Below are 23633 nucleotides of genomic sequence, written 5' to 3'. Positions count from 1 at the left end.
CAAAGAATAAATGTTTATTTTGGCATGTTAAAATGCTCTCACAATCTCAATTTATTGTTCTTTAGAATAAAACAATGACCTGATGGCAAGACAGAGTAAATGCTTCAACAAAACCCAAAGAGTAATGTAGAGTCACTTTCCTGCCTGATTTACATGGAATAGAACATTGCGTGCCAGGACCATTGAGCTTTACCCTCCCAGTAGTGCATCTGAGAACAAATTATGATAATCTCAAAATCCTACTGATGCTCAAAGACATTTCATCAACTGAAAAACAAAATTAAGAGTAAAACGCAGAAGATTTTTTTTTTTCACTATTTAGAGGAACTCAAGTTTATATGAATAGGCCTCATGTGGGGAGTCTTTTGAAGCTAGGGACTTCAAAGCAGATCACAGACTTCCAGTGGGTTAATCACTTAATGCAAGAGTGGGTAGATGGAATTACCACCATTCAGTCAAGCTAAACTTATCCTTTTCTTGGGAGATAGCAAGAAAATGCCCATCTTTTAGTTCCCAACAGTACCCTAGTTGAACATGTCTGTGAAGTTGCTCTGCTTACAAGTTATTTTATATAAGTCAAAATGGAAAGAAGTTCCAAATGGCTACTAGTGCCATTTGATGCACCATTTCACTTAGGGGGCATTATCTTTCTATTTGCTGCAAATATTAGGTTTTGAGCATTAAAACACACCCATTCAACACATAACAGATTACCAAAAAAAGAGCAGCAAGATTATATAAAGTTAGATTAGAAAGAAAGCTGGACTTTCTGACTACAAAAACAATTTTAGAAAGAACGTTGTACACTGATGCTCTAAAATGTAGAAATCATCTGAAATGCCTAGAAACGAGTAGGAGATGGAAGGGTGGGTATGATGTCCACCAAACTCACATCCAATGATCATCAGTGAATGTAAAAAATCACTTCATGTGATCATAAATAAACAGGTAGAAAATAAATAAGCCTGTGAAAAATAATTCCATATGTTCCAGCCTCATAGTTTAGTAAAATGTTAACAAGTAACAATAATAACAAAACGTAATCACAAAGCCCTTAGACAAGGTCTTGAATGGCGACCAGGTGTATGGGGCCAGACTGTGGGTTGATGCCATCTTTTTTATTTACAAGGATGATTAGGTGATACCTTTGGTCAGATGATCTTCAGGAAGGATGAAATTGAGTTTATTTATAGATCATAAAGACCTGTTGATAATGACTAATAAAAGGAAAGACAGAAGCATACTTTAAACATATTACTGCTACATCCGTAAAGGAAATGGAATTGTAATAAAAATGGCAGTTGTGTCACAATGTAATATGCAATCAAAAACTATATAGATATTATCACTTTTACATATTTAAATTATAAATGTTTATAGTTTATGATGTATAACTGTATTATATTAGGTGTAGAATATAAATGAAAAATTAAAGTGCAAATAGAGTAGGAGTCCTTTGTCTGATACTCTATAAAATGTTTTTTTGTTGTTGTTAGGGGAAAGGTTAAGCTATAGTAACAAAGACCCTCCTTCACCCCCACAAAAAAATTCAGTACCTTAAGTAAGATAAAAGTTTGTGTATCTCCTACATAATAATCCAGATATAAGTAGTCCTGCTAGCTGAATGGCTCTTCTCCATGAAGTCATTCAGGGACCCAGATTTCTTCCATCCTGTTGCCCCACGTGTTGTCCTTATTTGAAAACTCAAAGCTGAGCCCCCACAACATCTGTGTTCCAGCCTGTAAGAAAGTAAAGAGACAACCTAGCATATTCTGACTTAGCTTTTAAGAAAATGACCTAGAATCTATACACATCACTTCTGCTTATACCTCGTCAATGCAAACTCAATGTCATGGCCACACCTAGTATACCAGTTTGTAGAGTTCCACAGCAAAGTACCACAGACTGGGTGACTTCAATAATAGAAATTTATTTTCTCACAAATCTAGAGGCTAGACGTTTGATATAAAAGTATTTGCAGGGTTTATTTTTTCTGAAGCCTCTCTCCTTGGCCTATAGATGTCTGTCTTCTTCCTTCATCTTCACATGGTCTTTCCTCTGTGTGTGTCTGTGTCCTAGTATCCTTATAAGAACACCAGTTATATTGGATTAGGACCCATGCTAATGACCGCATTTAATCTTAATTACCTCTTTAAAGACCCTATCTCCAAATACAGTCACATTCTAAGGGAATGGGGATCAGGACTTCAACATGTGAATTTTGTGGGGACACAATTCAGTCCATAAAACCTAACATCAAAGGAGGCTGAGAAATTAGTTAGTAGTTGAATGGTCACTTAGCTAGATAAAACTTCCATTCCATTGCTAAAAGGAGGAAGAGAAAAGTAAATATTGGGGAATATTTAGCAGCATCAGTCACATTACTATAGAATTAATAAGCCCAAGACCAAGTTTATATCAGGTAAAAACTCATCAACCAAAAAAAAAAAAATGGGAAGCATATGTAATTGATAACAAAACTCAAAAGCAATGAAAGGGGATTGAACAAAAGAGAATGGCAGAGAAAATCCCCAGGTCAGGGCTTTGGAGGAAGAAATTTCTTTCTGGGCCCCAGGAAAGAAATCCAGCTTCAATACAAAGCCCTGCTTAAAAGAAACTCAATTCCAGCAATAGTGAGACCATTTCAAGTATGAAGAGTGGGACTTAAAACAAATGTAACACCTGGATACATTTCTTAAGCATCAGGAGGCACAGGTCTCAGGATGTTAAGCCAGTCTCCTCTGATCACCACAAAAAGTGAATGTTATTTGAGTCATCCATAAAATGAATTTGACCAATTCTATTACATTACTCCCTTTCTAAATTAATGTTTGATCTTGCATACATGAGATGTTCCCAATCTAGAAATTTTTTAAAAGAGTTTTACTAAATGAAATTAAATCTCCGTGCTTTGTGTAAATTTGCCATATGAGCAAACTATAGTGATATGTTGTTTACAAAAATTATTGGGTGAACATAAGAGAATGAAAGATGGTAAATAAAACTCCTTTCCTTTGTTAATCAGAATATTTTCTAGCTAAATTTTAGTGTTTTCTTTTTGTTTCTTAATACATGCCCAAATGTGTTCAATAGATTTTTTAAAATTCCTCCACAAGGATAAATCTGAAGTATAATTCAGAAACCTGCGCATAACCTTCAATTTCTTTTCCCAAGTCCCATGGCAATTCTATACCGTGAAACCATAAACATGTGAGCCCAGTTACAAATTGTTAATTTGTGAAATTTATTTGGATGGATATTTGACAGTTTCTTCCTGCTGTGACTCATGTTTGAGTACATGCCAGGAGCACCCTTTGCCTTTTACTTTACACATACAGAAAGAAAATGGGAGCATAAGGCACTTTTCCTAAGAAATATTGTGATTAAAAAATAGTTATACAGCAAAAAAACAGTCGCAAACACATAGTATCATTCATTGCTAATGAGTTAAAAGGATACCACGGTGCACATATAAATCACTATACAGTATCTTGCAGTTTATTTAAATTTATTGTGCCTCATTATAACTGAGCTATGCACCTTTAGGTCTGAGTTGATTAGGAATGCGATAGCTCAGAATAGCTTTTAATTCAGAGAAACATGGCCTGACCTTTACCATAATCCTGTGTGAAACACACTATAGTTTAGACATTAATAATGATGCAACCTTTTTTTCATACCGGTGAGATGCTACTTAAAATTTGGTATTATTAGTTAACAGGCCCAGGCCAATACATCAAAACCAAATTACCCTTCTGTGTATAACTACAGTACTTAATTCTGAGTTCTTCATCTCTCATAACTATTACTTCCTCTTTAAAAATGCTAAAAACCAAAATGTAATAGTGTCATGTCATAGCAATAAGTCACAGATACAAACCAAAGGCACTGCTCCTCACTCCCCATGGACTGCCACTGTATGCCGTTAAGGATTTGTGCTTCATGATATACGTTTTAACAGCGAAGGCACTGCTTGTCTTTGACCTTTGTCTCTCAATTTAAGAATGCCATTTCTTTAAACCACCTTCCAGTAAGTCAACTAGCACAAATAATAGAATTTCCTTACCATTCTGGTTCACATGCAGTTGAAAATGCAAATCGTGGTTACAAATATTCAGTTTTTTTTAAAAAGTTATTTATATCATTTATCACTATAAATACAGCAAATACAGCAAATAATAAAGACATTTACAGAGTTTAATGGATCTAATAATTCACCAAGGCTCATAATAGAAAACAGCATTATCCTATGCCACCCATTCTCACCCCTTTTCACTCTTGCTTGTCATTCCCCAGAGGAAACTCATTTTGGTTCTCTTCAATGTTTCCCCTGATATTTACCTTATATTCCCAAATAACAAGTTTATATTATTAAATCTCAATTTTTAAATTTTGGATATTATATATTGACTTTCTATAATAAGAAAAATAAGATATAGCCCTTTTGGAACACTGTTGCTTCAAAACTTAAGATTTCCCTTTGTTATCATTCCTGGGGATTTCCTCTGCCATTCTCCCGTGTTTGATCACCTTTCACAGAATCCCTTTCTTTGAGTTAGAATTTCCCTCATCTCTGAAAAACAGAAAAACAACACAAAGGATTAAATGAAATACGAGTCTACTTATCATGGACAAAAGAATGGTCCTGAAGTGGAATGGAAACTATGTTGTTAGGAAATAAGGACCCTCAGATTGCATTGCTTTGCCATGCTTGCTTTTTATTTTCTGGGACACTAGGTTGTGATACACGATGGCTGATGGAGCTTCAGCCATTATGTGTACACTACAGAAAAGAAAGAAGAAAAGCAAATCAAACTCACTACCTCCACTCAAATTCCATAAGTGGAACTTATTCAAATGGCCATGCCTACCTTCAAGGAGCGTGATAGGAAATTTGTCTTTATTTCAGTTATTCTGTTGCTAAGAAAGGAGAGTGGGCAATATTGTGAGATAGTGCACCATACTATATCATCTTTCTAGATTATTTTAGTGCAGCATATATTGAAAGAGCTTTGGGAGAAAAGGTAAGCTAGAGATATATTTCTTGAAGCATTGCCTCTCTTAAAATGTCTTTATTTTCACACTCACATCTGATTGAAAGATTGGCTGGGATTTAAAACCAGATTGTACATGTTTTGTAGAATTTTAAAAGGTATTTCATTGTCTTCTAGCTTCCAAAGTTTATTGCGGGAAGTCCAAGTCTGTTCTGATTCTTAATTCTTTCTTTGTGATCCGTTTGTACCCCTGTCTATGGGCTTTTAGTATAATCTCTTAACTTCAGTATTCTACAGTGCCACAATAACATGTGTTATGTGGGTTTTGTTCCATTCATTCCTTATACTCAGCACTGGGAGGGTCTTTCAATCTCGAAATTAAAGTCCTCCCCCTCCCCCACTCCTTTCTGGGAAATGTTTTTACCTTATTTCTTTGACATTTTTCTCACTCCTTTTTGTCTTCTTTCTCTCCTTTTGGAAGCTGGACTCTAGAATTGATCAAAATGAATTGTATTGTGTTGCAGTAGAAAACCATCCCAAATATCAGTAGTTTAATACAGCAGATGTTTATTTCTCACTGATACTATGAGTCTAAGAGACTAGCTAAGTACTCAGCTCCACATCATTCTTACTCAGAGGCTAGGGGAACTGAGTCTCCACCCTCCGAAGGATCTCAGGACTGAAGTAGGGGAAAGGCAACATGGCAAGCCACACTCTGGCTATTCAAAACTTCCACCCAGAAAGAACTCATATCACTTTTACTCACATTTTATCAGTCACAGAAGGTCACAGGCCCATGCTGATCTGCAAAAAAGGGAGGAGGTGCAGTCACACTAGGTCCCTGAAAGAGGGACAGTCAGAATCTTGGTTAACAGCCTCGAGAACTGTAACAATTTCCTGGAAGGATACTCTAATTTACTTTTTATTTTCTCTCTTTTTCTTATTATGGCGAATCAGTTTATAAGCAGTGAACTGCATACAACTTAACTATATATCTTGATAAATGTTTGCATATGTAAACACTGTGTACCATAATACAAATCAAAATAAAAAATATTTCCAACACCTCAAAGACTTCCTGCTGCCTTCTCTCAGTCAACATCTTCATAGGTAACCAATAATTTGACCTCTATAATCAAAGATTAATTATGCCTGTTTTTGAACAACATACAAATAGAATCATGTGTTATGTACTTTTCTGTGCCTGACTTTTTTCATTCAGCCATATATCTGTGAGATTCATCATTAATATTGCAAATAACAGAATGGTTTTCTTTATAATAGTGTAGCAATTTGATTATATGAATACAGCCCTCTTCATCCATTGAACTGTTGTTGGGCATTTAGGTTATTTCTTGGGCTATTATGAATCAAACTGCTATAAACTTTACCGTATATGTCTTTTGGTGAATATATGCCCTCATTTTCACTGCCTTTTCATCCAGGGTGGATCATAGGGCATTTAGGTATAGGAGTACTATCAGTTTTCCAAAGCAATTGTACCAATTTGTACACCTACCAGCAATATGTGAGAATTCTGTGCCTCCCTTTCTCCTCCTTGATGCTTTCATTTTCATATTCTGGCAAGCGTGTAGTGATATACCACTGTGGCTTTAAATTTCATTTCCTTCAGGACTAATGAAGTTGAGCAATTTTTCATAGGCCTACTAGCTAGTAGTTATCAAGGAAATGACTCTAAGTGGGAAGGGGCTTATCAGCTGAAGAGCCTCAGTGTGTAGGATTACTGAAGAGAGAACAATATTTAAATAGCTCTCCTCTTGGTTCTTCCAGTTTCCCCTGAGGAACCTTCCAGTCTATACTCTAGGAGATATAAACCTAGGAGTTGAGTACAGATCCACCATGTTCAAACGTGCCCATTGTTCCTGAACCCAGAGTCCTTCGAGTTTGTCCTCCCAGAAAAATAAACATCCAGACATCTGCTGGAGTTGAGGAGGGAGTCTTCTGCTGGTGGTTTGGAGTGCAGGTAGAGTAAGTGGCTTAATTGCTTTGTGTTACCAACTTTCAACATTCTTCCTGCTTTTGCCCATCACCATCATATCCCAAATGCAGCTGCTGCCAATCCCCAAATCCTTGGAATAAATCAAATTATTTGTTGATTGATCCTCAGCATGAAATCAGAACTAAAATTCAGATTTTTCTAGTCTTAGTGAGTTGCCACTTGTCCATTTTACATATACTTTAAAATATTATGTTGATCTTTATTACACGCTATTTTCTGTCCTCTCACTCTTGACTATTTTCTTTTGCCTTACATGTTTTTTAATATTTTTTTATTCATGCCATCATTTTAGTGGTATTTGAGTAAAAAAACATGTTTTCTACATTCATTGTCTAATTTGGATTCATTCTTGCCTCTCTTTGGCACAAGATAAATTACATTCTAGAAGCAAAACAAAGCAACAAATGAGCTGTTTCTCTTAAATTGAAAGTGAAAAATAATTAATCTTCTTCCCTAAAGTTCAACAAGTCTTAGTTTATCTATTTTTTCTTTCACATTCATAAAGCAATTTATATAGGTTTTGAGAAAACCAACTCTCAAATTCACTAAATTAAAAATATGACTTTTCAAATGAAAAGTTGGCAAGATATTAAATAGATTATATTGAAAAAAATCATCATTTTTCTAAACTGCTAAAAATATCATTTTCCTAAGTCTCTTCAAATTTGGAGAGTGGTCCTTAAAATTTCTTTTTTAAAAATAGATTGTGTTATTTATTGCCATTAGATTAAATAAGCCCGTCTAGCTGGTCAGGCGATTTTCTCCTTTCACCACTACTCCATGTTTTATCCCTTCTGAGAATGTGCCCTTAAATGGAAATTTCCCTCTACAAATCGACAAGAAAATGTCTTAAGACTAATATCAAATAATAGCTGAATTCTCCAACTAGCACCACCAAACAACCATTTGAGATCCATTTTTTATTAAGATACAAATATAAAACAGAAAAAAATAATATAAAGCCAGTGGAAATACCATGTATTATTTAAGCCATGGTTTTCAAATAGAGTAAGAGGGTAAGAGGAAGGCTGATAGAGAAATTCATTGGCTACTTATAAAAAAAATTCTGTCATTTCAGAAATGTATGCCACTACTTCCTCTTTCAGCCACCTCATTATATGAAAAAAAATTAGTTGCAAATAAGTAACTTCTTCAGATTACACAACCATTTGAACCAGAGTAAAAATAATCTTTTCTAGAAATCCCAGCCAAGTGTATTAGTTTTGTTTTTTCCATTTATGAACTATGAACATTTAACATCAATTTTTTCCTCTTTTTCAATTGCTTTGACTAGTCCTCCCAGAAAAATGTTAAATAGCAGTAATTTGGATAGCTATGTCTTGTACTTGACTTAATAGAAATGTTTCTTGTATTACCGTATCAGTCATAATTCTGAGTTTTGGGTTGAGATGTACATGTTTTACATGCTATCAACTTACTATTACTTTTTTAAGAACAGATACACTAAAAAGCCCAGACTTCACCACTACACAATATAGCCATTTAACAAAACTGTACTTATATCCCTTAAGTTTATATAAATAAAAAGTAAAGAACAAATAAAGAATAATTTTAATTAATAATTGATGCTGAATTTTTAGCATCTATGAAAAATGATAACATGATTCATCTTCATATGTTAAATTATATTAATGGAATTTCTACTCTTAAACCATCTTTGTATTTCTGCTGTGGATCCCAGATGGCTGTGTTTTAGTATATTTTTAACATGCTTCTGTATTCTATTTGCTAATACTTTATTAAGGCTATTTTAATTGACATTTATTATTCCATTATATTATTTTCTGTGCTATTTTTTGGGTTTTCTTATCAAGGCTTTGCAGACTTTGTCAAAGAAATTTGAAGTACTATTTACTTTAAGTCTATTTGGAAGATTTTGTTTATTTTTTTGAGATAAAAATTCTATATATTTTTTATTTTTTTAAATTTCCATAGGTTATTGGGAAAAAGGTGGTGTTTGGCTACATGAGTAAGTTCTTTAGTGGTGATTTGTGAGGTTTTGGTGCACCCATCACCTGAGCAGTATACACTACACTCAATTTGTAGTCTTTTATACCTCACTCCCTTCCCACCTTTCCCCCGAGTTCCCAAAGTCCATTGTGTTATTCTTATGCCTTCACATCCTCATAGCTCAGCTCCCACATATGAGCGAGGACATAAGATGTTTGGTTTTCCATTCCTGAGTTACTTCACCTAGAATAATAGTCTCCAATCTCATCCAGGTTGCTGCAAATGCCATTAATTCATTCCTTTTTATGGCCAAGTAGTGGTCCATCATATATGAATAGCAGCTTCTTTATCCACTCACTGATGATGGGCATTTGGGTTGGTTCCACATTTTTGTAATTGCGAATTGTGCTGCTATAAACATGTGTGTGCAAGTATCTTTTTTGTATAACAACTTCATTTCTTCTGGGTAAATATCCAGTGGTGGGATTACTGGATCAAATGGTAGTTCTACTTTTAGTTCTTTAAGGAATCTCCACATGGTTTTCTATGGTGGTTATACCATTGCCACCAGCAGTGTAAAGTGTTCCCTGTTCACTGCATCCACACCAACATCTACTATTTTTTTTATTATGGCCATTCTTGTGGGAGTAGAATGATATCATACTGTGGTTTTGATTTGCATTTCCCTGATCATTAGTGATATTGAGCATTTTTTCATAAGTTTGTTGGCCATTTGTATATCTTCTTTTGAGAATTGTCTATTCATGTCCTTAGCCCACTTTTTAATAGGATTGTTTGTTTTTTCTTGCTAATTTGTTTGAGTTCATTGTAGATTCTGGATATTAGTCTTTGGTGAGATGTATAGGTTTTGAAGATTTTCTCCCACTCTGTGGGCTGTATGTTTACTTGACTGTTTCTTTTGCTGTGCAAAAGCGCTTTAGTTTAATTAAGTCCCCTTATCTTTGTTTTCATTGCATTTGCTTTTGGATTCTTGATCATCAAATCCTTGCCTAAGCCAATGTCTACAAAGGTTTTTTGGCTGGGCGCAGTGGCTCACGCCTATAATCACAGCACTTAGGGAGGCCGAGATGGGTGGATCACGAGGTCAGGAGATCGAGTTCATGCTGGCTAACACAGTGAAACCCCATCTCTACTAAAAATACAAAAAATTAGCCAGGTATGGTGGCGTGTGCCTGTAGTCCCAGCTACTTGGGAGGCTGAGGCAGGAGAACCGGGGAAGCAGAGCTTGCAGTGAGCAGAGATAGCACCACTGAGCTCCAGTCTGGGCGACAGAGTGAGACTCTGTCTCAAAAAATAAAATAAAATAAAAAATAAAATAAAATAAAATAGAAAAGAAAAGAAAGAAAGGTTTTTCTGATGTTATCTTATAGAATCCACCATGATCAAGGGGGTTTCATACCAGGGATGCAGGGATGGTTTAACATATGCAAGTCAATAAATGTGATACACCACATAAACAGAATTAAAAACAAAAATCACTTTATCATGTCAATAGATACAGTAAAAGCATTCAACAAAATCCAGTATTCTTTTGTGGTTAAAACTCTCAGCAAAATTGGCATACAAGGGACATACCTCAATATAATAAAAGCCATCTATGACAACCCCACAGCCAACATAATACTGAGTGGGGAAAAGTTGAAAGCATTCTCTCTGATAACTGGAACAAGAGAAGGATGTCCACTTTCACCACTTCTCTTCAACATACTGGAAGTCCTAGCCAGAGCAATCAGACAAGAGAAAGAAATAAAGGGCATCCAAATCGGTAAAGAGGAAGTCAAACTGTCACTGTTTGCTGATGATATGATATCTACAAAACCCTAAAAAATCCTCCAAAAGCTCCTAGAACTATAAAATAATTCAGCAAAGTTTCCGGATACAAAACTAATGTACACGAATCAGTAGTTCTGCTATACAACAACAGTGACCAAGCTGAGAATCACATCAAGAACTCAACACCTTTACAATAGCTGCAAAAAAATAAAATAAAATACTTAGGAATATACCTAGCCAAGGAGGTAGAAAACCTCTACAAGGAAAACTACAAAACACTGCTGAAAGAAACCACAGATGACACAAACAAATGGAAACACACCCCATGCTCATGGGTGGGTAGAATCAATATTGTGAAAATGACCATACTGCCAAAATAAATCTACAAATTCAATGCAATTCCCATCAAAATACCATGATCATTCTTCATAGAACTAGAAAAAACTGTTCCGAAATTCATGTGGACCCCAAAAAGAGCCCTAATGCCAATGCAAGACTAAGCAAAAAGAACAAATCTGGTGGCATAACATTCCCTGATTTCAAACTATACTATAAGGCCGTAATCACCAAAACAGCATGCTACTGGTATAAAAATAGGCACATAGACCAATGGAACAGAATAGAGAACCCAGAAATAAACCCAAATACTTAACAGCCAACTGATCTTTGGCAAAGCAAACAAAAACATAAAGTGGAGATGGACACCCTATTCAACAAATGGTGCTGGGATAACTGGCAAGCTACATATAGAAGAATGAAACTGGATCCTCATCTCTCACCTTATACAAAAATCAACTCAAGATGGATCAAGGACTTAAATCTAAAACCTGGAACTATAAAAATTCTGGAAGATTTTAAATAGTGAAGAAAATATATGTTACTTTAAGTTTTGGTAGAATAAATCTGTAGGAATATCTTGGTGTGATGCTTTTGGGGTGGGAGTAGCTCTTTGAAAGTGTTGTCTCCAATCTTATATAATTTCCCTTTTTGAGTTTTAAGTCTTTTTTGCTATAAATTTTGAAAACTTTTATTTTCCCAGAAAATTTTATTTTCCCAGAAAATCATCCAGATACAGAAATATATCAGTATAGAATTAAGCGAAATCCCTTATTATTTTGTCATCATCACTCCTTATTTTGTTTTGAGATTTTCTTTTATTATATATTAAGTTCATGTGTATATTCATTTAATTAACAAATATATATCTGCATGAACCAGAAACTGTTTAAGTAGCTAGAATACAATGATGAATAAAAGAACGTGGGGAAAAAGGGAGAGAAATACCATATTTTTCTGTGTGTGTGTGTATCTGTGTGTGTGTAACTTGTGTGGGATAAATAATTAACATATATTTGCAATGTTTTACATATAGTTTCTAAATTTTCTCAAATGAATTTGAATGTCATCAAAATCTATTGTACTGTTTGGGGAAGGGAGTATAGACAGGAGAAGTATGAAGCTGAGACAATTTCTTCTAATTAAGAAACCAAGTCTCTCAGTGTCAAATAGTGTAAATGTTTAATACTAATACAGTTTGAATAGATGCTCCCCACCAAATCTCATGTTGAATTCTAATCCCTAATGTTGGAGGCAGGCCTAGTGGGAGGTATTTTGGTCATGGGTACTGATCCCTCACAGCCTCGTGCTGTCCTCATGATAGTGAGGGAGTTATTGTGAAATCTGGTTGTTTAAAAGTGTGTGGCACTTCCCTCCACCTTTCTCTTGCTTCTACTTTCACCGTGTGAATGGCTTCATCCTGCTTTACCTTCCAACATGAGTATAATCTCCCTGAGGCTTTCCCCAGAAGCCAAGCAAATGCCAGCACTATGCTTGTACAGCCTGCAGAACTATGAGTCAATTAAAACTCTTTTCTTTATGAATTACCCAGTATCAGGTATTTCTTTATAGCAATGCAAGAATGGCCTAATACACCTATCTTTGATATTTTTCTCTGGAAGATACCTATCAGGTGCATCCTCCCTCATAGAAAATATTAAAGATATTTTCTGATATGACTTCTGGTCCTTCTGTGGTTTCTAGAGTTTTGGTATTTGATTCAGTCCCTGAGTACAGATGCTGGCACCTGCTAAAATACCACTGATCCTGCTTATTGTTGAGAATTTGTGCTGTTATCCTCTGCTGAAATCTGCTGATTAGAGTTGATGAGTTCTGCATAATAAGGGTGTGTGCTTTGGAGATGGAGTTGGGGATTGTAATCTCAATTAGTCTACCTCTTTGCTAATCTGACTCTATTTCATTTCCCTCTGGTGCTCTCAGGTCCCCTGAGTCCTACCTATGTCACCCACCAAACCTTCATCCTCATCCCTCTACTTATAGCTTTTACAACATAGTCTACCTTTTTCTTTCAAAAAACGTATAGATCTCTGAAGCATCTGTAATAAGCCTATGTCACTCAAAATGCCATTACTTCCATCTAACTCCCCCAATTTATTGAAGATGTCTTTATTTGGTAAACTATCTAAATCTTTCGTTCTAGTTCCATCATTAGTTATGGCAAATTCAGGATCCACAGGCATAACCCATCTCTTATTTGTCTACTATGTCAGAAATTTTGATCTGTGAAATGTCACTCTCCTCATTGCAATAAATGTTTTATACCATTGCACTATTTCTAGGTCTTGTTGATTCTGCCTTGTGTATTTTGTCTACTCAAAGACTTATTTCTGAAAATATCGATCATCCATATTTATATGTCTACATATGCTTCATTCATTTTCACTATTTTATGGAATTTTATCATACAAATATATGTACAATGTTGTATGTGTCCCTTGTCCCTTATCCTGATAGTGTACCTATGTATTGTGAAAAAGAAATCACTTCCAAATTCTTTAGTTGGGACTATTAATCAGATGTTTCCCCTAATTATATACACAAGTTAAGTGTCATATTTTTCCTCCTTTGTTTCCTATTTCCCTTTCTTTGCATAATATAATGTTGAAATTGTCCAAAGTCTTTAGTTTTTGTACATTTAAAACATAGAGATTTCCCTTTGATCTGCATTCACAGTCACCAAGCAACAATGTTATTATTTTGACTCACACATATTGGCCTTCAAACAGAGAACTAACTTTGGGGCTCATGAAACTATCCAAAACATTTTTCTCATTAAAAATTAAGAGACATTCTAGAGAGGCTTGTTTCTGATAAAGATGATGTAACAGGGACTGGATTTACTCCATATGAAATGACAAAATTATAGACAAAATGTATGAAGTAATGGCACTTAAGACATCAGAATTCAGGTCAAAAAGAACAGTGAATTGTAAAAGATTATGAAAAGTGGAGATAAGCTCTATATTCCCCTCACTTATTGCCTGAAAAAAGTTTCCAGGCTGCAACTTCAAGGAGATAAATATGCATGTAACTGGAATCTCTCAAACAATGCATAGAAAGTTAAAGGGTGGAAAAAATAAGTAAAGTAATAATGGCTGAAATTTTTCTAAACGTGATGAAACTTATAAAGCACTAGGCTAAAATGCTTAGCTAATCCCAAGTACATTAAAAACGAAAAGAAAACTACACTGAAACTCATCATCTTCAAATTGCTTAAAACCAGTGATAAAGAGAAAAATCTTAAAAATAGCGATAGCAAAAGACACACTACATATAGAAAAACAAAGATAAGGATTGTAACATATTTCTGGTCAGAAACAAAAGACACTGGAACATCTTTAAGTACAGGGCAGGGAAAGGAGGTGAAATTTGGCCTGTAATTTTTTTAACCAGTCAAAATATCTTTCAAAGATGAAGGTGAAAGAATGACTTTTTCAGATATATAATATTTGTAAAAAGCTCTTCATTACAGATCTGCACTGTAAGAAATATTTTAAAAAGTCCTTTAAACAGAAGAAAATGTGAAATTGAAATCTAAATCAACATAAAAAAATGACATCAACAGAAATGGTAACTGGATATATATAAAGACTTTTTCAAGTATTTAAATTTCCCTTCGATAAGAATTGACTCTTTAAATAAAAAATCGGAACAATGCATTTGGGTTTTAATAACATATGTAGATATAAAATGAATAACAACAATAGCACAAAGTCCAGGAGAGGAAAAATGAATGTATATTCTTTTAAGGTTTTATTTTCTATACATAAAATACTGCAATATTACTTGGAGGTAGAATATGATAAGCTAAAGATGAACACAATAAATATTAAAGCAATCACTAAAATATACAATCAATAGTGCTAAAACTGTTTGTTGTGTTGAGTGATTATTTTAGTATAGTCAGTAAATAAAATATTGGTTTACTGAAATAAGCCAAAAAGAGGATAAAATAAATCAGAGAAGATACTTAATGCAAAATAAGACAGAAAACAAGGAAAGAAAAAACAAAGAACATATGGGACAAATAGAAAATAAATAAAAATATAATAAATTAAAACTCAATCATATCACTAGTCATGTTAAATATAAATACTATTAAAAGCCCATTCAAAAGGCGGAAATTATAAGATTGGATAAAAAGACATGACCCAGCTATATGATACCTGCAAAAACTGTACTTCTGGGAGTTCCACTCCTGGGATGGGAGCATGAGGAGTGCTGTAGACTGCTCCCCAGCTAAACAAGTGAAGTTGGCAAAAACTATTTTTAAAAAGTATTTAAATTATCAGGAAATTGTCCTACGAGCTTATGGCAAATCAAGAAACATTTATCCAATAAAATCTATAAAACTGTAATTTTATAGATTTTAAATATGTTCCCATTTTTTAGCCACAATGCACTTTCTCCATATCCCCCTATCTGACTTGCCCCATATCAGTTTCTATGAAACCCCACTCTGGGCAGGTATGGCTAAGAAGAAAGAGCTCCATCTCCTCTCAGTTCTTAATCAAAGATTATCCTATCGCACTGGGAGGGCCAGGCAGACAGTATTTCTCACCTCAGTCAGCTGCACGTTGAGTTGCTCAGGGCAGATAAGAGGATGAAGACTCCCTTCCTCCTCCCAGGCCCCCAACCCATAAGACAGAAGCTCTACCCTAAGAATTGCATACCAAGAAATCCTGGGGACCTGATCACCCTCACCCACCTCCTTTGTAGAGCAGAAGCTGCATGCAAGGAATACAAGTCAAGAAGACCAGAGGCTTCCACCAGTGCCCAGAGTAGTGGCTTAGATAATTTTATCAGGGGAAAAAGCAGTCCATAAAAAAATAGAGTGCCCCAAAGGAACTGATTTTATTTGAAATGGCATGAGGAAAGTTAGGCTAAAGGGTACTGTTGATAACAACAGATTCTCTTAACTAAGAGCAATAAGCTTAATCGTAGACCAGCCAGTTCACCAGGAGAAACAAGGAAAACTAAGAAAAGCAAAGCTCAAAGACTGGCCTCAAAAACTACCTCTGCCAGAATTTAATTGGATCAAACTACCAAGCAATTTATATTCCAGGACATTATCAAAAACAATGAAATAATCAGCCTGTAATTAGTGGAGAATGAGTACTGGGCATAATACCACATGAGTCAGACACCTTAAAAAAAGACATAGAGCAAGCAATAAAACAGTAGAAGAAAGACCCATGAAAACCACTGTCTTAGCTTGTGCAAAACCCCAAGACTGCACCTTCTGAGTAGCAACACCAAAGGCTTCACATTGTGGGGGATCTAGACTTTACTACATTAGTCTAATGAATTAATAAAACAAATAAACAAGAAAACAAGAATTGAAACCAGCCCCAAAGAGAAGGAAGCAAATCAGTGTCTACAGTTGCTACATTACCTAAGATGTCCAAGTTTTAACAAAAATGTATGAGATATGAAAAGAAACAAAATTGTACGTACATATTAGTATTGACAGCTATGCAGTCTAAAGAATAGAGAAAAATAGAATAAAGACAAATGAATAGAATCTCAGAGAAATGGAGGACTCATTAAAGGAGCACTAGCACACACATAGTGGGAAGAGCAGAAGGAGAAGAGAGAAAGAAAAGGGAGCAGAAAAATATTTGAAGAAATAATGGCTGAATATTTCTCAAATTGCCTGAAAAACATTAATCTACACATAAAAGAAACTCAACAAAATCCAAATAGAAAATTTGAAAGCAGCAAGCAAAACAATGATTCATCATATATAAGGGAACCCCAATAAAATTAACAGCTGACTTCTAATCAAAAAACATGAAGGCCAAAAGGCAATAGGATGATATATTCAAGTGCTGAAAGAAAAATAAAATTTCCACTAAGAATCTTAGATCCTGGCTTGGTGCGGTGACTCACGCCTGTAATCCCAGCACTTTGGGAGGCCGAGGTGGGCGGATCACCTGAGGTCAGCAGTTTAAAACCAGCCTGCTCAACATGGTGAAACCCTGTCTCTACTAAAAATACAAAAATTAGCTGGGTGTGGTGGTACACACCTGTAGTCCCAGCTACTTGGGAGCCTGAAGCAGGAGAATCGCTTGAACCCAAGAGGCAGAGGTTTGCAATGTGGCAAAATCGTGCCATTGCACTCCAGCCTGGGTGACAGAGCGAGACTCTATCTCAAAAAAAACAAAAAAATCTTAAATCCAGCAATACTGTCATTCAAAGCTTAAGACTGAAGATGAAATAAAGACATTCAGGTAAACAAAATCGGAGAGAATTCATTGTTAGTAGAACCACTTTATAAGAAATACTAATGAAAGTTCTTCAGACTGAGAACAAGTAACCCTGGGTAGAGGTTCAAATCCATGCAAAAAACAAAGTGCACCAGTAAAGGTAATTATATAATTATAAAAGACAGTATAAATCCATATTTATTCTTCTTATTCTCTTAATTGATTTTAAGCTATTGTATATGTGTATATAATTATATATATAATTGTGTATACACAAATAAAATTGCATGTACATAGCATATGTTTATAAACTGTATAGTGTAAAACTACGTTTTAAATTTATAAAAATTGATAAAAAATTTTTAAATGTAAATTTTAAGAAAAGTAAGCTAAGCTTGTTTACTTTGTTTTTAAAGAAGGGTTGACTAAAAAAGTAGGAAAAATTATTTAAAAAGCAGGAGGAAAAATTATTCTTGTACATGCATGGGTTAGTCAGTTTGAGCTACTATAACAAAGTATTATGCATGGGGTGGTGTAAAAATAAGAGAAATTTATTTAACACAGTTCTGAAGACTAGGAAATTCAAGATTAAGGCACCAGCAGATTTGGTGTCTGGTAAGAGTCCATTTTCTGGTTCATGGAAGGCATCGTCTCACTGAGTCATTATATAGTACAAGGAGCAAACGAGATCCCCTGGGCCTCTTTTATGAGGGCAGTATGAGGGATTCACCTCCCAAGGTCTCACCTCAATACCATACCTTAGGCATTAGGATCTCAGTATATGAATTTTGGGATGACACAAAGACTCAGACCATAGTAATACTGTATGACACATACTACATCTTGTTAGATGTTATAGACTTTGTATTTAACTGCTAAACATAAGGCAAAAACAAATTATGATTTAAAAAATAATAATAATAAAGATTTTTCTACCCGCACTATTGGCTTGCATTAGATTGATATATTTTGTGAGAAAGGGAAATAACACACAAACAATCAACTAATAAAATGGCCCAAAAGAAATCCAAAAGAAAATATTCTCTTCTAAAAAAAGTGTTTACAATTATTACTGGATTGACATCTTTACAATTTGCTGATTATACTAATGTATCATGAACTATATATACAATAATTACGATGCAGAAGTTCCCTAAAACCTGAAAAATATTAGTTTTTTATCCTAAGGTTTATGGATTTTCTGTAACCTGAGGAATGCAACTGAGTATTTTTAATATGTATGATTTAATTGGTGTTAAATAATTCTCTCTTTTTTGTCAGGAAATATTTCATTGCATCTTCATCTTTGAAGGATAGTTGCACTCATTTATAAAATTTCAAGTAGTTAGTTGTCTTCTTTCAACACTTAAAAGATGTATTTCCATTGTTTTCTGGTTTTCTTCACTTCTGCTGAAAAGGAAGTCCTGGCCGGGGATGGTGGCTCATGCCTGTAATACTTGACTTTGGGAAGCCAAGGCAGGATGATCACTTGAGGCCAGGAGTTCAAGACCAGCCTGGACAACATAGCAAGACCCCTGTGTACAAAAAAAATTATTTTAAATTAGCCAAGCATGGTGGCATGCACCTGTATTCCTAGCTAGTTGGGAGGCCAAGGAGAGAGGATCCCTTGAGCCCAGAAATTTGATGCTGCAGTCAGCTATATCATGCCACTGGGCCACAGAGAAAGACCCTATCTCTAAAAATAAAAAAGCAATTCTTAGTTTTGCTCCTGTGAAGTTTATGTGTTTTTTCTTTCGGTCTGCTATCAAGAGTGTTCTTCCTTGTCTTTGCCTTTCAATGTGTTTTAGTGTGATGGGCTTAGCATCTGTTTTTATATCTTTAAATATTTCATCTGCCACATCCTGTTCTCTTCTTACAGGACTCCAGTTAAATATATGTTAGATATTCCAACCATGTCCTGTTGTTTCTTCCTGTTTCCTGGTTTTTCAGTAATTTTCCCCTCTGTTCTTCATCCTGGATAACAACAACTGACATTTCAGCTGACACTAGCCATCTTTTGTGACATGTTCATTTTATGTTAAACACAAAAATTGAGTTATTAAATTCAGTTGTTTTATATTTCAGGTCTATAACTTTTTATTCCTTTTATATGGGTATCTGTTTTCTTTTTAGATCAGTCAGGAGCTATGCTGACCCAAGGTTAGGTTGCAGTTTTTTTAAGGTTGATTCTCTACTTTTGATTCATTCAAATTCCTTTCACCAGTCCCACTGCCAACTTTTTTTTATAAGCTCTAATCACATCATGCCAGAATTATTGCAATACTTTCAAGACTCAAGACTTGCTTCTTCCAATTTGCCTCACTGTGCAGAATACTCTTTAGACAAGGCAAATCTAATCATGTCATCCCCTAATTAAAATGCCATAAGGGCTCCACGTTGCTTATAATATTGCAACTAGGACATAACCCTTCAGGTCCAAAAGCATGGGTCATTTAGTAAGGCCCTTCTTCCTTGGCAATTCCTAATCTATATAATTTTTTGTCTTCTCAGCATTTTGAAGTTTCCAAAAACTTCCCTCTGCTTTTTAGAATCTTTATGCTTACCTCTTAGCTTGAGGAATTTAAGAATTCATCAATTACCTCAAGAGAGAAGATTAATGAGCACTGGACATTTTTTTGTACTTGCCATTTATCCAGGATCATGCTCTCTCAAGTCCTGATTGCTTTGGCAGCCCTGAGCTCTATTGTGTTGTGTTTCCAGATATGGGATTATCAAAAACTCAAATTTTCTGCTTGTCACGGTATTCTCAGTCTTTTGCTTGACTCCAATCCCTCATCAGATTCTTGAAAGCTTCTTCACAAGAAAAATAGAACATCATCAATAATCAATTCACTCTGCCTTTCTTCTCCTCTAGTTTAACTTAACCATGCAGCAATTTATTTTTCATTACCCCTTGTCTTATCACATGCAGATAATATTTATTTATTATTTGTATATATGACTAAACACCTTTTGAAAATTGATAGACCTTGCCACAATAGTATCTCTAGAGACTACAGTTATCTCAATTCTTCATAAACACTTACAAATATATAAATACACATATACATATATACATACATACATATGGATGTTCTCTCACACACATACACTGTGATCTGAATCATAGTGTTAGTTCCAGCTTTTATCCATCAACTTTACCCATTTATATAAAATCCAATTGAATGTAGACTATGGTTGTTCTCTCCATACTCTTATGATTGACTTAGGTCCTCACTGTTCACCTGAAATTGCCCTCAGAAAAGTAATGAATAACCTTTTCATCACTAGATAAATGAGAATCTATATTTTTTTCACATTTTTAGTATCTTCTCAATGTCCACATGGTTAATCTTTATTCCTTTATGTATTCCCTAACATTTCCAAATTTCTGAGGATGTACTGAATCTCGGTTCTTTTCAAAGCAGTCAAAACCTCGTCACTCTTTCTTTCGATTATTCCTACTTCCCCTCTTTTGTTACAGAGCTACATAAAGTTCAAGTGAATGTTTTACAGATTCAAAACCTATTGAAGATCATTGCCATGTCTGAGTTGCTTTTGTATCTCAACAGTGTGTCGCAAATTGCAGATATTTATTAAATGAATTTAATTACATAACAAATATGACCTGCTAAAAAAAAAACCTGAGTGTCCTCTATGTACAACAAAATAGTAGTAGAATAAATAATTTCCACTTGGCAACAATCCGTATTAAATATTTAAAATCTCGAACTTGTGATAGTATAATCAGAAATAGGTTTTAGAAAAAATCAATTGAAGAATGGTATGTGGTTTAACTAAAATTAGAATGTTAAAAGGTATTTAATGTTTCTTTATCAACACTGAACTATTTCTTCAAAATGAGAAATTGCTACTAAATGTTGGTAACAATGACTTGCCAAGAAATAAGGAGACACCTATCTGGATGCTTTTCTGGTTATTTAAACATTATCTATTCAGTACTGAAATTATTGTCTTCCTCTTCCCACCCACAAGCCTGCTTTTCTTCTTTCTGTGTCTGCATCGGTGAATAATACCACAGTCCAGACAGTAGTCTGAGATGGAAACCTGAGAGTCATACTTGACTATGTTACATGCTTTACTACCTATAAACAGCAATCTCTATAAATTCTACTTCCAAAATACTCTTGACTCCATCTTCCTTTCCCTATTCTCACTTTTTTTATAAACTCCAATCATATCACACCAGAATTACTGCAATACTCTCAAGACTCAAGACTCACTTCTTCAGACCAGCCTGGGCAACATGGCAAAACCCGTCTCTACAAAAAATACAAAAATTAGTGTGGCATGGTGGCACAAACCTGTAATCCCCCCTACCTGGTAGGCTGAGGCAGGAGAATTGTTTGAACCTGGGCGGCAGGGGCTACAATGAGCTGAAATCACCCCACTGCACTCCAGCCTGGGCGACAAAGCGACTGTACCAAGTGCTCTTCAGAAAAGGCAATCTAACCATGTCATCCCCTAATTAAAATGCAATAAGAATCCACATAGTTTTCAATATTAACTTTAATATGTCTTACAAGGCTCTGCCTGATCCGCTTCTCTTTCCCTTTTCTGTATATTACTTGTTACTTCTCCACACTCAGTGTTTCAGATTTAGTGAACTTCAAGTTTTCTAAGCCAGTCATGGGCCCTCTAATCTCTGGGATTTTTACACATGCAGTTCCTTTGCCTGGAAGTCCTTTCCCTGCCTCTTCTCTGATTAATTTCTACACATTCTTCAAGTCTCAACTTACATGGAACACTCTTCAGAAAGCTTTCCCAGACTCTAATGTTGGAGATAGCTGCTTCACAAATTGTCTCATAAACAACCTGCCCTTACACATAACTTGGTATAATGCACTGTAATTTTCTGATCACTTATCTTTTCCTCACAATGGTCTTTAAATTTCCCAAAGAAATCATTTATTATAGTTACATACATGTGCTAGGTAATGTACATATTTTTATTCATAATCAAATTCATCAAATCACTTTAGACTCTCCAATATTATCTTAAGAATAATAATATAAAAGAAATATATTTCGTGTTACTTTTGTTTTCCTCAAATTACATATTTTTGTTTAATGTCTCAATCAAACTTTAAATTTATTGGTGAATTTATCAATTTTTATGCTCATTATTTCTTTTCGAATCTCATTCGTTAATTCTAGTTTGAGTTTTGTCTTCCTAAATAGCATCCTTTGCCATTCATAATATCTATTATGGTGCTTGATACATAATAAATGTAACAGGCATGTTTGGGCCATTCTCTTATTTGATGGCCTATCCTCCTGTGGCAATGATTCTAGCAAGAAGAGGCAGCTTCACTTGCCAGGTTTGTACAACCATGATCCTTCACTTCCCTTGTTTGGACCTGAACCATGGGCTGAGCAGATTAGATTCTTTCTTTGTGGAATTTGAATTGTGAGATACAAAGCCTAGGAGTCATTTATTTGGTGGTGGTCCTGAATCAGGAAAGTCATGTTTCTCAGAGAATGGGGTAGCTGTCCTGTTTGAGTCATGTATGCTGAAAAGCTAGTTAAGACAGGTTTACAGGGAAAATGAAAACAACAGAGGAAACACAAAGAGAACACCAGATGTAAGAGAATTATGTTCCCTCAAGAGAAAAAAAGAGATCAAATAGCTATTTTAGTAATGATGTCTTTGGCTTCGTGTCCCTACCTAAATCTCACTTGAATTGTACTCCCATAATTCCCAAGTGTTGTCGGAGGGACCTGGTGGGAGGAAGCTGAATCATGGGGACAGTTTCTCCCATACTGTACTCATGGTAGTAAATAAGTCTCACAAGATCTGATGGTTTCATAGGGGAAATCTGTTTCGCTTGGCTGTCATTCTCTCTCTTTCCGCTGCCATGTAAGAAGTGCCTTTCACGTTCCACCATGATTGTGAGGGCTCCCTAGCCATGTGGAATTGTGAGTCCATTAAACCTCTTTCTTTAGTAAATTGCCCAGTTTCAGGTATGTCTTTATCAGCAGCATGAAAATGGACTAATACTAGTAACTATTTTCCAGTTTCTAATTCTAGCACCTCTTGAAATCTAGATGTATTTCCTCCCCTTGGGTTCCGTGACATGCCCTCGTAGTTCTTTTCCTTAGACTCCTTAATTTAAACCAGCCTCTTTCTGGCATCCAAATGCTCCCTAAATGAATCTGTAGTTTAAACATATTTACTGAATAAACATGGGAAGGGAGGAAGGAAGGAAGGAAGGAAGGAAGGGAGGAAGGAAGGAAGGAAGGAAGGAAGGAAGGAAGGAAGGAAGG

At 35.2% G+C, this 23633-nt stretch overlaps 1 long non-coding RNA gene across 2 annotated transcripts in view; it reads right to left on the bottom strand.

Moving 5' to 3' along the window:
* Positions 1-5447: 5447 nt before the first annotated feature.
* The window catches only part of LOC105379078 (uncharacterized), a 33914-nt gene continuing 15728 nt past the window's right edge, over positions 5448-23633 (bottom strand). For both annotated transcript variants that reach the window (XR_948561.2, XR_001742803.1), the window contains 2 exons: positions 5761-5798; positions 5448-5482 (listed from right to left, as the gene is read on the bottom strand). This is a non-coding gene — a long non-coding RNA (uncharacterized LOC105379078). The remainder of the gene's footprint in view (positions 5483-5760; positions 5799-23633) is intronic.

This window comes from Homo sapiens, chromosome 5 (assembly GCF_000001405.40).
Source record: "Homo sapiens chromosome 5, GRCh38.p14 Primary Assembly".
NCBI lineage: Eukaryota > Metazoa > Chordata > Mammalia > Primates > Hominidae > Homo > Homo sapiens.
Note: the sequence above shows the minus strand (reverse complement) of the source record. Positions and strands in the feature narration are given on the sequence as shown.